The 15841-nt window shown below is 46.2% G+C and overlaps 2 pseudogenes across 1 annotated transcript; one reads left to right on the plus strand and one right to left on the minus strand.

Moving 5' to 3' along the window:
• RNA5SP529 (RNA, 5S ribosomal pseudogene 529) lies at window positions 2701–2810 on the plus strand (annotated as a pseudogene).
• Window positions 12018–14246, minus strand: LOC101060524 (D(1B) dopamine receptor-like; annotated as a pseudogene). The gene has a single exon (NR_111000.1). The product of NR_111000.1 is annotated as a D(1B) dopamine receptor-like (transcript).
• Between the last annotated feature and the right edge of the window lie 1595 nt (window positions 14247–15841).

The following is a 15841-nucleotide window of genomic DNA, read 5'->3' on the forward strand; positions in this document are numbered from 1 at the left end:
CAAAGGCACCAGGGGCTCTTATGAGACAGAGTGACTCAAAATAGAGGGAATGTGGGGACTTGGGGCATAAGATTGATCATGAATCACCAAATAGAAAAACCTTGGGATGGCTTTCAAGAAAAATCCTCCTTGAAGTTTTAACTTTCACCTACAAGCAAGTTTTCTCACTGCTCTGTACAGCAGGGTAAGGACAGCAGCCTCACAGCATCAGTCTGAGGATAGAATGGGTTAATGCAGCCAGGCACAGTGGCTCATGCTTGTAATCCCAGCACTTTAGGAGGCCGAAGCAGGCGGATCATGAGGTCAAGAGATCAAGACACCCTGGCCAACACGGTGAAACCCCGTCTATACTAAAATACAAAAATACTAGCTGAGTGTGGTGGTGCATGCCTGTAGGCCCAGCTACTTGGGAGGCTGAGGCAGGAGAATTGCTTGAACCTGGGAGACGGAGGTTGCAGTGAGCCAAGATCACACCACTGCACTCCAGCCTGGGTGACAGAGTGAGACTTTGTCTCCGCAAAAAAAAAAAAAAAAAAAAAAAAAGAATGGGTTAATGCCTGAGAACTCTTTGGCACAGTGCCCAGCACAAATTCAGCAGTCACTCAGTGTTGGCTATCATCTTTGGTGATGTTGGTCCCAAACCCAGACCTCTGCTCTTGTCCTCGGCTCATACACCCACCTGTATAGCCCATATGCACTTTAAACATGAGTCCAAAATGGAATCCAAAATATTAGATGCCCTCGTTGCCACCACCAGGTTTGCTTTCCTCTCAAGCCACTGAGGGATCCATAGAAGCAGAGACCATGATGAGAACCCATCTTTAACTCTGGGTCGCTAGCACAGGGGCAGAGTAGGCAGTCACTACATCTTCAGAGCTTGTGAGTTTTATTTTGCTTTGTTTTGCAATCTGTCATCCCCACACTCTTACTATATAAGACAGTGCCTAGCCAGACAAGCATAGGTTTAAATCTCCACCTTGTCATTTCTTAGCTGTGTGACCCTGAGCGACAAGCTTGAGTTTTCTGAGCCTCAGCACCTTCAGCTGTACAGTGAGAATGAACAGACCTCCTCACAAGGCTGCTATAAAGAATTAACGAGGCTGGGCATGGTGGCTCCCACCTGCAATCCTAGCACTTGAGGCCGAGGTGGGTGGATCACCTGAAGTCAGGAGTTCGAGACCAGCCTGACCAACATGGTGAAGCCCCGTCTCTACTAATAATACAAAAAATTAGCCGGGCATGGTGGTGGGCGCCTGTAATCCCAGCTACTTGGGAGGCTGAGGCAGGAGAATCGCTTGAAACCAAAACCGGGTGGCAGAGAGAGGTTGCAGTGAGCCAAGATTGCACCACTGCACTCCAGCCTGGGTGACAAGAGTGAAATTCCATCTCAAAAAAAAAAAAAAAAGGAATTAATGAGATCACTCCGCACAAATCCTAATGTGGCATCTGATACAGGGCGAGTTCTAGTAAATGAGCATTTTTTACACTCAAGATGTAAGAGTGATGGTTTCATTATTAGAGATGAGAGAACCAAATTAATAAACGTTTAATCATGTACTTAAAATCACACAACTGGGACTCATAACCAAGCCCTTTTCTTCCTGGTCTGATGTTCATTCCTTGTTGTCTGAAATGTCAAATCATTTTACCAGAATAGCAGGGGAGAGAGGGACAGAAAGTTGCTTAAATTATTGATTTTGTTTTAGCAGCCTCTCATCCTGCAAGAGGGGCTTGCAGTAACAAAGGCCTGGCACCTTTGAGTTTGTTTTTGGTCCATTTTTTAAATCTTCATTCCCTTTAGCTCTTGTTGAAAATGGCTTCCTGCCACTTTGCACAGAAAAATCTCTTTCATGAAATACCAAAACCAAACAAAAAACAGGCCTTCGAAATGCTGTTTTGCCTCCTCCTAAGAGCTAACATTTGCCAGTTGTAAATTAACATTCCTTTCGCTTCTTTCAACAGAAAATCAATCAGGGCCCTAAAATCCCTGCACATCTGTATTTAATCCACAAATAATTCAACAATGTTCTATCTTAATGGTGTATTGTGAGAAAAGCATAAATGTCATCAACTTCTTTTACGTGGAAAGAACAATAGGGCATGAACTTGTTTGTGCTCCTGATGTCCTTTAGAAATGGATTCCTAAGGACCAGGAGTGTTCTCCCCACCGACGGTGCACAGTGCCACAGCAAGGACAGTCAACTGGGAGTTGGGAGACCTGGACTTCAGTTCACACCACTTTGCTGGGGTACTTGGGCAAGTCCCTCAGGGCCTCAATTTCTGCATCTGCACAATATGGGGAGTGGTCAACATGATTTCCAAAGTCTCTAGCCAGATTTCAAATTTGTTTACAGCACACAGAAAATTGCTAAAGAGAAAAAACTATAGTGGCCATTTCTGTTCAGGCTGCAAAATCTTGTGCACTATTTACATATTTAGGTATGAACTGTCTCAAAGGGTCTTTCATTTAAAAATGACCAACATGGAGAAACCCCATCTCTACTAAAAATACAAAATTAGCCAGGCGTGGTAGCGCATGCCTGTAATCCCAGCTACTCCGGAGGCTGAGGCAGGAGAATGGCTTGAACCCGGGAGGCAGAGGTTGCTGTGAGCCGAGATAGCACCATTGCATTCCAGCCTGGGCAACAAGAGCGAAATTCCGTCTCAAAAAAAAAAAAAAAAAAAAAAAAAGAGGATGTAGGCTACAGCCATATACCCTGAACATGCCCAATCTCATCTGATCTTGGAAGCTAAAAAGGGTCAGACCTGATTAGTACTTGGATGGGAGAAAATGAAGGTGGAGATAGTTCTTTGTGAAGACACATGTGTGTACTTATTTGTGCACTTGTGTGCTTGCAATTGCATCTTGGGCACATGTGTATTGTGGAGGCATCTGTGTGCCTGTGGAGTGTGTATACATAAGTACCTGATGTATGTTTGGCTGCAGAGGCACAGAAGGTCAGCAACAGCAGGTGGCTGCATGCAGGGGCACTAATAATTACTCATTTTATACAAACTGTTTAGCAACAATGTTAGCTATTCTACTGCTGACTTTACGAACAGAGAAAATGTGGCCGGACACAATGGCTCCTACCTGTAATCCTAGCACTTTGTAGGGGCTGAGGCAGAAGAAGCCCTTGAGCTCAGGAGTTTGAGACCAACCTGGGTGACGTAGTGCGACCTAGTCTCTAATAAAAATTAAAAAAAAAAAAAAAAAACTATCCAGGTGTGGTGGCGCATGCCTATAATCCCAGCTACTTGGTAGGCTGTAGCAGGAGGATCACCAGAGCCCAAGAGTTTCAGGCTGCAGTGAACCATGATTGCTCCACTTCACTCTAGCCTGGATGACAGAGCAGGACCCTGTCCCCCTGCCACAAAAAAAGAAAAGAAAAGAAAAGGAAAAAGAAACATAGAATAGAAAACGTCTCCTGGTTTGCATCCTGGAATAGAGAAATGAGCACAGGCTTTCAAATCAAACAGTAGTGATTCATATCCTGCCCCTGGCACTCACCCAGCATCTCTGAACCTGAATATTTTCATCCAGGTTGACTTAAGGATGAAATGGAAAAAGATTTACAAAGTACCTGGGGCATAGCAAAGGATTCAATAAATGTTCTCTCCCTTTTCTTCTATATTAGTTATCTATTGCTAAATAACAAATTAACCCAGAACTTAGCAGCTTAAAACAGCAAGTGTTTTTCTGATAGTGTCTATGAGTCAGGAGCCCAGGCAAAGCTTCGCTGGGTCTTCTGGCTCACAGTCTCCCAAAGGCCGCAATCAAGGAGTAATATAAGGCTATGGTCTCATCTGAAGGCTCAAATGAGGGATGCTTCCTTTCCAAGCTCACTCATGTGATTATTAGCAGGTTCAGGTTTTGGCTGACTCTTGGTCAGACACTCCCCCAGCCTCTGGTTTCTTGCTACTGGGCCTCTTCATAGAACACCCACAACATGGCTGCTGGCTTCCATCAGAACAAGAAAGCAAGAGAGCAAGAGAGGGTGAGCAGGATGGAAGTCATTTTCTTTTTGTAACTTCTCAGAGGTGCTGTTCATCAGTTTCACCATATTGTGTTTGTTAGGAACAAGACATTAGGTTCAGCCAAGATATAAGGGAGTGGAGAGGATTATACAAGGGCATGAATACCAGGAGACATGGATCACTGGAGGCCATCTTAGGGGCTGCTGGGAAGCCTGTCCTCCAGCCCCCAGTGATTCACATCCTCCACCCCATGCAAAATACACTTGTGTCCTGCCAAGATCCCTAAAAATCTCCTCCCCCTTCAGCATCAACTAAAGTTCAGAATCTCATCAAATCAGGTATTGGGGTGGGGACTTCTTGAGAATGACTAGTCACATGCAGCTCCTAGAGTACAGTTCCTCTCTCTCTGAGAGCCTGTGAAACTAGAGAGACACAGTATCTGCTTCCATACTCCTAGCATTAAATGGTATAACAGGCATGGGTTAGCTCTATATCTGTCTCCTTTTTCTCTAGATGTTTGATGAGACAAGTATTTTAATTTTGTATTCCACTAATTTATTCATTCAACAAATACTTATTAGGTACTGACTATAGACTCTATTTATTTTGCATTCCCATTTTGCCAACAAGGAATCTGAGAATCAGAGGCAAAATATTACAGCTTGGCCCACTGAATTATTTTTTCTTCTCTGAAAGGACCTCTAGGATTCTCCATCAATGAGGACTTTCTAGTCACAGCTGCAGTGAGGTTTGAGTTTAGCTGATTAGACCATCAACCACAAAGACTACACATTCAAATACTTTTATGTGGCAGAATATCTAAGAATAATTCAAGCTAATAAAAGATCTAGAGAATAATTAGATATATTCATTGTTAATAAGAGCCCATTTAATATTGTAGCAAAGGCAAGATCAGGGCAGGGTCAAGGCAGATAATTTTCAAACATGCCTAATGATAGTGTAGACCAATGGTGTTTTTCAATTGTGGCTATATACATTCTAACACATTCAATTTTTTTTAAAAAGTGAAGCTTAGGTCCTATTCCTTAGAAATTCAGATTTAACTAATTTGGAGTGGGCCCCAGACATCAATATTTTAACTTTCAAGTGGTTCTAGGAAAGACAGGTTTAGGGGCTGTGGAGAGACACAGAATGGCAAGTACTTAGAACATTCACACATCCCCCACCTCCCAAGCTCCTAACAGAAATCATTTATTAGCCAGTCCCCTCAATGTCATTGGTTGGAATGCAATTGTGTAGTCTTTCTCATCCCAGGACTCCAGGCAGCCCCTACCCATGAAGCCAAGTTGACATATGAATGAAGGCATATGTGTTAGCCCTGACAAGCCACACTGGGCATGCTTTCCCAAACCTACAAATTATCAAGGGTGTAGAAAAATAGAGCCCTCTCCATGCTGAGCAGATCTCACTCATGTAGACAACTGAGGTCTAATTACCCATTGGAAAGGGCCATTGGAAGAGCACAGGAAAAGGTCCAAGATGGAGAGGGAATTTACAGCCAAGTCTGATAATGGTTTCAGAACCTCAAAATACTTCACCTGGAGAGGACCCATGGGCAATATACATGAAGGAGCTCTCCTCTTCCTGAGTCCCTCCAAAGAGTTGTGTAAAGCCCAAAAGGGGGGCTCTCCAGGAGTAGATGCTCTTCAAATCCCACTTCTATCCCTTACTAGAAGTATAACCTGGCTTGCTATTGAGCCTCTCTCAGCCTCCTTTTCCAAATGAGGACAATGGTGCCTATGTCACAAGAATATTGCAGTGATTCCATGAGAAGATGTATACAAAGCACCTTGCCCAATAGATAGTCAACAAATGCTGGTTGTCACCTTTATTCTGTCAGTGTTGGTGGAGTGCTGGTACTCATAGTTCACTAAGAGTTTTTAGGACAGCAATGATCTTAGAAGAGAATCAGATCAAAGTTCTGAGTGTTTTCCCTGGAACTGGCATTGTATTATTAATATCCTACAAATGGGAGACATGCATCCCCTGGTCTCATACCTGGAATATCAAAATGGTACTTCATTAACAGTGTCAAAGCAAAAGTCTGATGGCTCTGCCTGCTCTTGTGAGTAGGGGTACTCATATTCCCTTTAAGCCCTTCCCCCAAATTGGCCTAGAGGTCCAGGGGGTTCCACATGGGCTCAACATTCTCTGATTAACTCTCCCCTCATATCAACAACTTCCTCCTATCAAGCTTGACATCTTGTGCTATTTCTTCCTATTCTAGGTGTAGGCAAGTCTAGTTTGCTCTTCAGCTACTCTATCCCTCTCCTGCATATTGACTCTTGAATTCTTGATCCCTAGTAGCTTCTCACACTGTCTGTAAAATGGAGCATGGAACCACTACATAGAAACAGGAAGGTTCTGCCCTGTACTCTCAGCTCTTAAGGGCACAGTCACAAGAAGACCATTTTTAAATTCTCATTGTGTAACACCCTTACACATTCCACATGCATCATAGCACATAACTCTGACAATAAACTACAAGGTAAGCAACTAATTATTCCCTTTTTAATATTTTTTAAACCTAGGAAGGTAACTTAATCTCTTTGACTTCCAGTTCTCATGAACTAGAACATTAGAGAATCGAGATTTGAACCAGAGGTGATGGTTTTTAAAATATGTCTGCTAGATATCAAAATGAGTGCATGGGATTTGATATATGTACATAGGTAGGCATAGAAATAGATAGAGATGCTCAAGGATATGTGTATATGCACATATGAATATGTGTGCATGTATATACATGTATCCATTTCCCAACTCTGTCTTTTAAGAGGATATAGAAACAATATCACCCCAGTAACAATAAACACCCTAGTGCCCACATCTTGATTTCTCCATATCATTTTCTGCTAGAAGGAACCCTGGTCTCCTTGGAAAAATGGATGATTCCAAGGCTTGGACAGGGAATACACAAGATGAGTCTGACATATCTCATGTTGAAAAGTAACAAACTACTCAAAGAATAATGACAGCATGTCAAAAGGACACAAGAACCAACTTAAAGGGCTCCCACTCACCAAATCTAGGGCAACCTAAATATCATGATAAGTATGGATACCCTCAGTTCACTGAGAGATTTGAGGTCAGGGACAGTCTTAGAAGACAATAGAAAACAGTGTTCTGAGTGTTGCCCCTAGAATGAGCATTGTGTTAATATCATAGAAATGGGACACATGTGTCCCCAGGTCCCATACCTGGAATGTAAAAATAGTATCCATTAACAGCGTCAAGTAAAAGATTATAACCTATTATAAAAACTAGAAACCCGGGCTGGGCATGGTGACTCAAGCCTGTAAATCTCAGCACTTTGGGAGGCTGAGGCGGGAAGTCTGTTTGAGCCCAGGAGCTTGAGACCAGCCTGGACAACATAGGGAGGCCCCGTCTCTACAAAAAAAAAAAAAAAAAAAAAAATTACCTGGGCATGGTGGCATATGCCTGTGGTCCCAGCTACTTGGGAGGCTGAGGTGGGAGGATCACTTCAGCCCTGGAGTCAAGGTTGCAGTGATCTGTGATCATGCCACTGCTCTCCAGCCTAGACAACAGAGTGAGACCCTGTCTCAAAAACAAACAGAAAACTAGAAAACCAAGATTCTATGCCGATGTCAATAATATAAACAAGTGTTCTTCCTTACAGTAGAAAACCAACAATACATTTAGAAAGATTACAGAATTTTTTTAAAAAACATGATTTGACAACCACAGTAATAACTGATTCAGGGAAGGGCTACTAATAAATGCTAAAACCAATGGATGCAAGTTTGAGAAATAATAGGATATCTTCATAGTCTCAAAGTATTTCTCCAAAGGAAATACATATTAATTATAAAGAGTAAAACGGTGGACAGCACCGTAACCCCATGAACAAAGTTAACATTGCTAGTAATGGGACTAATTAATAGCACCTGCCCCTCATGCCTTGAGCTACAGGAGCTCAGCATGGCATCAGTGATATTCCTGCCCAACATGCATAACAGAATCTGATCATGGAAAAGCACCAAAAAACCGAAGTTGAAGGACAATTATACCAAGTAACTGGCCAGGTAATCTTCACAAAGGTCTGTGTCAAGAAAGACAAAGCAGCAGAAACTTTCAAATTACAGGGGACAGCTAAATGCAACACATGGTCTTGGATTGTTTTGTTATAAAGGACATTATTGTGAAGTCTGAATAAAGTCTGTAGATGAGACGAGAGAATTCCCTGTTTTTAGGAAATATGCAACAAAATATTCAAGAGTAAATGGGCATCACACCTTAGATGACTCAGAAGAAAAAGGGAAGAACAGAGATAAGTGATACAGTGAAACCCTGATGTTTGGGGGATCTGGGTAAACAATATTTAGAAATTCTTTGTACCGTGTTGCAAGGTTTCTGTAAGTCTGAAACTATGTGAGAACAAGTGTTTAAAAATAAAGCATAAAATGTAAAACATCTCTTCTGCAAATTCTTTGGCACTCCTCCCATGAAGAGGTAAAGTCTAATCACCTCCCCTTGAATATGATTTGGACGTAATGACTCATTTCTAACCAATGAATATGGTGTATGGATGCCTAATTATAAAAGAACATTCAGCATGTATCAGAACAAGGAAGTTCTGGGGCATGTGTTTTGTGTAATTCACGCTCTGTGTGGTTCATGTGCCCATTGCTCAGATAAAGAAGCTGGAGCTCAGAAAGGTGCCCAAATTCAGAAGACTAATAAATGGTGGAGCCAAACTTCAAACTTAGGGCACCGGAGCCTCCAATCCCAGGCAGGTGGCCTTGTGGATGGGGAGCTGGGACCTGGAGTCTGCCCGCCTGGCCAAGGCCTCTCGAGTGCTGCAAGATGGGTATTTGGGGCCGGATAATTCTCTGTGCACCATAAGTTGTTTAGCAACATCTTTGGCCTCTACCCAGAAGACGGCAGGAGCACCTGACACCCAGTTGTGACAACCAAAAATGTCTCCAGACATTGCCAAATATCTGTGGGGGTGCAGGGTGCAAAGTTCCCTCATTTAAGAACCACTGACCTAGGGTGAACCGTGGTTCCACTACTTACTTTTCACATGACCTTGGACAAACAACCTTGTCCTCAAGGTCCTCTGTGCCCCCATGTCCTCACCTGTAAAATGGAAAAATAATAACATGTGAGGTTAATGTGAGGAATAAATAAGAATCCAGGAAAGCAATTGGCCCATCATGTAAGAGCTACTTTGCCCATAACCCTAGGGTGCCTTCCCTCCAAACACAAAGCTGTGCACAGAGGAGGTACACAGTGAAGATCTGCTGTTGTATAGCTGTGGGGATGAATCAATTAACCATTTCAGTAACAAATGAACAAAAAACTGAATGTCCTGATCTGTGCACTAGTGCATTTGCTGACTGAAGATGTCCTGGCATCCTCTCTCACCATCAAAGAGCAGTTAGGATTAAAGACTCCACAGCCAGGCTACCTGGGTTCAAGTTGAGCTCTGCCACTCAGGAGTTATGTGACCACAGGCTGGTTATTTAGCCTGCCAATGCCTTCATTTCCTTATCTGTAAAATGGGGTAATAAAAGTGCTTACCTCACAGGGCAATGAGAGTGAAATGAATTAATACATGTATTGTACCCAGCACAGGCTGGGTCTCCATCATGCCTGCTGCAATTGCTGCTACAGCAATTAACATTAATCCTATCACACTCCTCTTTTATAGCCCTCCAGCCACACTCCTCTGAGGGTGCCAAGAACAATCCCATTTCCAAGCCTTTGCACTTGCCACTCCCTCTGCCTGGATTGCTCTCCTTCCCAGACATTAGCAGCCCTCCAATCCTTACTTCATCAAGGTCTCTCTTCATGTGGCTCTTTGGAAAGTCCTCCCCTGACCACCATAAATAAAACAGCAGCTTCACCACCCTACTCACCCTGGGCTTTTTGCAACATAGCAATTACCCCTGCCTGGCATTATCTATCCTGGTCAGTACAGCACAGTGCAATGCAGTGCAGTATAGTACAGATCTCTTTATTGGCTTATCTCTCCCACAGCTCACATAAATGTTCCAAGAGAGCAGAGAATTTGATTGACAACTATATTCCCAGCATCTAGAACAATGCCTAGAGCATAGTACATAATTATAATGAATGGTGAGTGATATTTTACAGAAGGAAATTCCAAAGTCCTCACATAACCCATTTTCCATAACACAGAACTTATTTAAACTGGAGCCTAGAACAGTGTTTTTCACAAAAGATTTTGCTTATAGCAACCCATGCTTTAGAACAGAATATTGTAAAGACTTCCAGATCAGTTAGATTTGAGTTTCTCAAGTAGTGACTGTGGACTCCAGTGAAACAGTAACAGGAATTCCACCAAACAAGGTTCACAAAGTGAATGGCATTGGGAAATGATACAGAATCTTCTCGCACTGGAGGATGCATCATGCACAGGAGAAGCTCTAAGAAGTCCTATCGAGAAAACAGGTGTTGAACCTGGGTTTGCTGAACTTATTTCACCAGAGACCCCATCCATTAACATCTGCATCACAAAGCACAATTGGGTAAACAGTGATCCAGCTGAAGTCCTTCCATTTACAGACACAGACAGAAAATGAGGCCCAGAAAGGTTAATTGACTCACTCAAGGTCATGCGACCATCTCCTGAATCGTAGAGCTGTGTGCTTTTCACTGCCCCTAATGTTGCCTAATGGTTCACTTAGCTATCCATTCACAGGAGGTCAGAAACTGAACACGGGCCTCAGATTCCAGTATCATTTTGACTAAATTATATATAAAAATTGATGTACCGAATAGGATTTGCTTTCAATCTCACTATTCCAGAATAGTCATTCATTCAACAAATATTTATTAAGTACGATGTGCCAGGAGCTGCACATTTTGCAGTTGGCTGCACAGAAGACTGACAATAAAATTAGCCTTAGAGAGATCAAAATTGATTGAACTGTCCTTGATAAAACTGCTTCAAAGCAGGGACTTGCAAGAAATTGCATATTCACATTTCATTTGCTTCCATTAATAGTGCTCATATTTAGATCTGATGGTAATACTATGCTCTCAACTGGTGTGGGTCTGGAATAAAACACTCCCCTTGACTGTGCACACTGCAGAGAGGAAAAACAAAATGATTGGAGTCAGCTGGGCTTTTCTATTGAGCACCTCGACCTACAGATTTTCCAATTTCAAGTTCATTCACATTTCATCTCTGGCTTCTACATTTTAGTTAAAAAGCATTTCTCTATTTGCTATTGTCCACTAAGGAAAATGCCTATTTAAAAATAGATTTCTTTTTTAAAGCATCTTGATTCACACATTTCAAAGCCCTTCAGAAAACAGGATTTCTCAAAAGCCATGTGATTCTAAAACATGCTACAGATTTCAGATGGAGAAAGATTCAAGATATTATTCTACATGAACTTTTCAATGAACTGATCGCATCTGTCTAGGAATAAGGAGAGTTGTCTCATGTTACTTCAAAAAAGATTCCAAATGAAAAAAAAAATCTGGGCTTGAGAAGATCTAATGCCATGCCATTGAAGCCAGGTTTCAGCACAGACCCAACATGTGTATAAGTAATAAAAAGAAACCTGAGAAAACAGAAGCTCCTCAAGGTCCTTTGCCCTGGTGTATCTTTAAGGCCAAACTGTAAAGAGAATAAGCATGTACTTCCAGACCCAGCAAATGTCTTCTTTGCATTTTAAGGATGCACTCATCGTTTCTTCAGAAGCAATCCTGAAACCCAGTGTAGCAAAGCAAAGATAGTCACCACATAATACAAATAATCTGTGTTTATTAGATACCAGAATAAATCAGGGAGACTTCTTAAGCTATGGTAAAGAGACCCCCACCAGCACAGAGAGAAGAAATGACACAAGCACAAAGCCACGGGAATCCAGACCCAGGAAAGCTGTGCTCCCACCACATCACTGCACACACACAAAACCTGCTGTTTAAAAATCAATTCAAACACAAACAAGTGACTGAAAAAGCCATTTGTTTAAAAAGGGAGGGGAGAGCATATTTTTTAAGGACCAAGTATCTTTTTTTTTTTTTTTTTTTTTTTTAAGGAGCCAGCACCATACTCTCTTCTCTCACAGGATCATTGTTCCATCTCTGGTAGGCTGGGTACATTTGACTGAGTTTATTGCAACTGCTTCTGCCAATTCTTTGAACTATCAATCAATGGGGTGAGGTTTCTAAGCACACCAGCTACTACACAGAAACACATGATAAAGGGAGCAGTACTGGAAAGCCATGTATTTGCTTGTGTGTGCATGCTTGTCAATGTCTGTGTGGTTATGCAGATCCATGAGGGGGTTTCTTAATGCAGTTTAATGGAATCCATTTGGGGTGAAAGGTGTTATTTTGTCTAAAGAAATCTCCCCCTCGCAGTCCAGCTCTCAGACAGACTCTGCAACAGGGTCACCATCTGGGGATGTCTGATAGATCTGGGACATGCGATCGAAAGGACTCTCCTCCTCCTCATCGTTGTCCACCTCCCGGTCCCCGGGGGGAACGGCGTTGGGCATCATGTGGATGTAGGCAGCTGCGATTTCCTTGTGGAAGACCGTGTCTTGGTTGTAGGAGATGAGCTCATTGCTGATGTTCACCGTCTCCACCGGCGTGCGGGAGCAGACGTGGCTGCACCCCAGCAGCTGGGCAAACACCTTCCGGAAGTCGGCGTTGAAGGCATAGTGACTGGGTTGAGTGAGGAGTTGGCCCAGCAGAACCAGATGAAGACGTCGAATGTGGTCTCACTGACGCAGGGGAAGCCGGCCGGAGGGCCTTTGGGGTGTCCACTGCAGAAAGGGACCATGCAGTTAAGGATGAAGAAGGGCAGCCAGCAACACACGAAGACCCCCATGATCACCGACAGGGTCTTGAGAACCTCGGTCTCCTTCTTGATGGAAAACCGCAGGCTGGTGTCGGGCGCGCAGCCTGCGCTGCTCCGGCAGCTCTGCACGTGCTCTGCGGCCCTCTCCAGGGAGGAAATCCTGCGGATCTGCACCTGGGCGATGCGGTAGATGCGCGTGTAGGTCACGATCATGATGGCCATGGGGATGTAGAAGCTGATGAGCGAGGAAGAGATGGCGTAGGTTCGATTCAGGCTGGAGTCACAGTTCTCTGCCCTCACGTCGGGCTCCCAAACGGCCTCCTCCCAGGGCGTCCAGTTGGCCAGGTTGTTTGGCAGGTCCAGCCCACCTCAAGAGACCGCCTGGTCCCTGTGCCAGTTGAGCTGGACCGGAATGAAGGAGATGAGGCTGGACAAGGTCCAGGCCGGGCGGACCATGACCAAGGCCATGCGCTGGGTCATCTTGCGCTCGTAGCGGAAGGGCCTGGAGATGGCCCAGTAGCGGGCCACGCTGATGACCTGCTGACGCACAGGTTCAGGATGGAGGCGGTGGAGCACATGATGTCGAAGGCCACCCAGACGTCGCAGAACGCTTCAAAGGGCCAGTAACCGGCCACCTCGGCGACTGCCTTCCAGGACATGACCAGCAGCGCCACGAAGAGGTCTGACACAGGTAGAGACACGATGAAGACGTTGGTCATCTTGGCGCGCAGGTGGCGGCTCCGCACGATGGCTGCGGACACCAGCACGTTGCCCAGCAAGGTCCAGATGATGAGTAGGGTCAGCAGGCAGGCGGTGACCACCTGCACGGGCCCCAGTGGCGGTGCCCCCGCCGAGCCCCCCACGGCATTCCCCTGCGCCAGCTGCTGGTACAGCGCTAACTGCCCCGGGTACGCGGTGCCGTTGCTCCTTGGCGGCAGCATTTCGGGCTGGGCCGCAGAGTCGGTTTGTGCGCGATCCCAACTACAGCCCTGCGACCCCCAGGCAGCCCCATCGGGCACCCCGAGGATGCGCCCCCTCAGCCAAGGGACCCTCGAGCCCTAGAGGGCGCTCACCATGAGCTGCGCCGGGTCCCGGAGCGCGCGGGGACTTCTCTTGCTTCCTGAAGCGCCTCTGGCTCGGTGGCCGTGGTGCGCCCCTCCAGTCTACGCGATGGGCACAGGAAGCGGCTGGTGCCCGCTGACAGCCAGGGCTGTTCTCGGGAGTCTGCGGCGCGCCACATGGCAGCGACAGCGGCTGTGTCTGGTTCGGAGCGAGAGAAGAGAGCAAGCCGCCACTGAGGGGCTGGGGCAGGCAGTCGCCAGCGCCGGGCTGGCACTGCGGCGCTGCCGCGGTCCCTGGCCGCTCCCCGGCCCCGCGTCCCGCCCCCCGCGCCTCCGCGCTGGACTCCAGCCCCACCTGTGCCTTGGCGCCCTAGCTCACCGCGCTCGGCGCGCCAGAGTGTAGTGGTGATCCCGCAGGTCCCAGGAGCGCCCCAGCGCCAGACCCTAGCCCCGGGCCGGGGAAAATTCTTCCCGGGAAGACCGAAGGGTGCTTGGTGTAGCCCTGGAGCCCTAGCCCTAGCCACGCTTGGGGAACAAGAGGTGGGGTAGGGATGAGGACGCGAGGGCTTCCGGAGGGGGAAAGAGCATTTGAAGTGTAAAGGGGACGGCCTTGGATTGCCCACAGACCTGAGTCCCAATCCGGACTTTATTCCTGGCTCTGCAACTTTAAGGGCCCTACATTACTTTACCCGGCCTTGGTTTCCTTCTCCACAGCGTGGGATAATGATTCCTACTCCTAGAACAGTGTCAGAACTCAGGGAAGCCTTCTAGGATGAGGTGTCCAGTAGACAGTGTCTCCTAGGAACAGGCTCCCGCTTCCCCCAGCCCCTCCCTCAACACCATGAGGCTGGGGCTTCACCTGACCTCTTGGGAGACTGTCCTTTTCCCCACCACCGCCCCCAGTCCTTCAGTGATTTTTCCTTTGGGGAATAATTTGGAATGAACCCAGAAGACAAGAGGAGGAAGAGAGCCCCCCACCCCCCCCCACCCCCAGAGAGTTGGAAGCCTCTTCTTTGCAGGGCACTTTTACAGTCTTTCTCTTTTTCAACCTTGAGAGGGGTGGATACATAGCTCAGTGTTGAACAGAAAAGGAACTGACGGGGCCCAAAACCCAGACTGAAAAAAAAAAATGATGGAAAACAATAAAGAGGGAAAACAGTGTTCCTGAGCTCTGAGTGCACCTCCCAGCTGACAAGTTGCATTTGTGAAGTGTTTCGGCCTCTGCTGGCGTTAAGCTCAGCTGAAGGCAGCTGGGAGAGAAAGGGATGTGACAGCAGCCAGCTGCACAGCTCCGGCTGCGACCTGCTGGCCCAGACACCTGCAGCATGGTGAGGTCTAGTAACAGACTAGACTTTCTCCTCCCTTCCTAGTCTCCCCCTTCACCAAATGCACTTGCACCCTGGACCAACACCTGCAAGTGGCCCAGCTTCTCAGACTTAGGCTGCTCAGCCTACACAGTCCCTTCCCCCAACCTCTTTCCCCTTCAGTGCTTTCTGCCGCTGGAGAAGGCAAGACCATCTGTCCAGGTGCCTAAACCTGAAACTGAAGAGCCATCCTCACCTTCGGTCTCTCCTCATCTTCTAGGAGCTGGATCACTCCTCTGGCCATGGACATCCCTGTCCAGAATTGTGCCTCCTCCACCCTGTTTGAAGGTGGCACTCTCCTGGCCTCCAGGCTCTGCCCTGACCCTCTGTCTTCCCAGAGGCAGTGATCTTTCCTGAATGTGACTATGCTCCTGTCACTTCCCTGATGAAACACCCTCAGTGTGTTTCATGATCAGCTCCCTGTGGCCCCTGTTCCTCTCCTGGAGAGGAGAGGAACTAAAAACACAAAAATACAAAAAATTAGCTGGGCGTGGTGGTGGGTGCCTGTAGTCCCAGCTACTCCAGAGGCTGAGGCAAGAGAATGGCGTGAACCTGGGAGGCAGAGCTTGCAGTGAGCCGAGATTGCGCCACTACACTCCAGCCTGGAT

This window comes from Homo sapiens, chromosome 1, assembly GCF_000001405.40.
Source record: "Homo sapiens chromosome 1, GRCh38.p14 Primary Assembly".
NCBI lineage: Eukaryota > Metazoa > Chordata > Mammalia > Primates > Hominidae > Homo > Homo sapiens.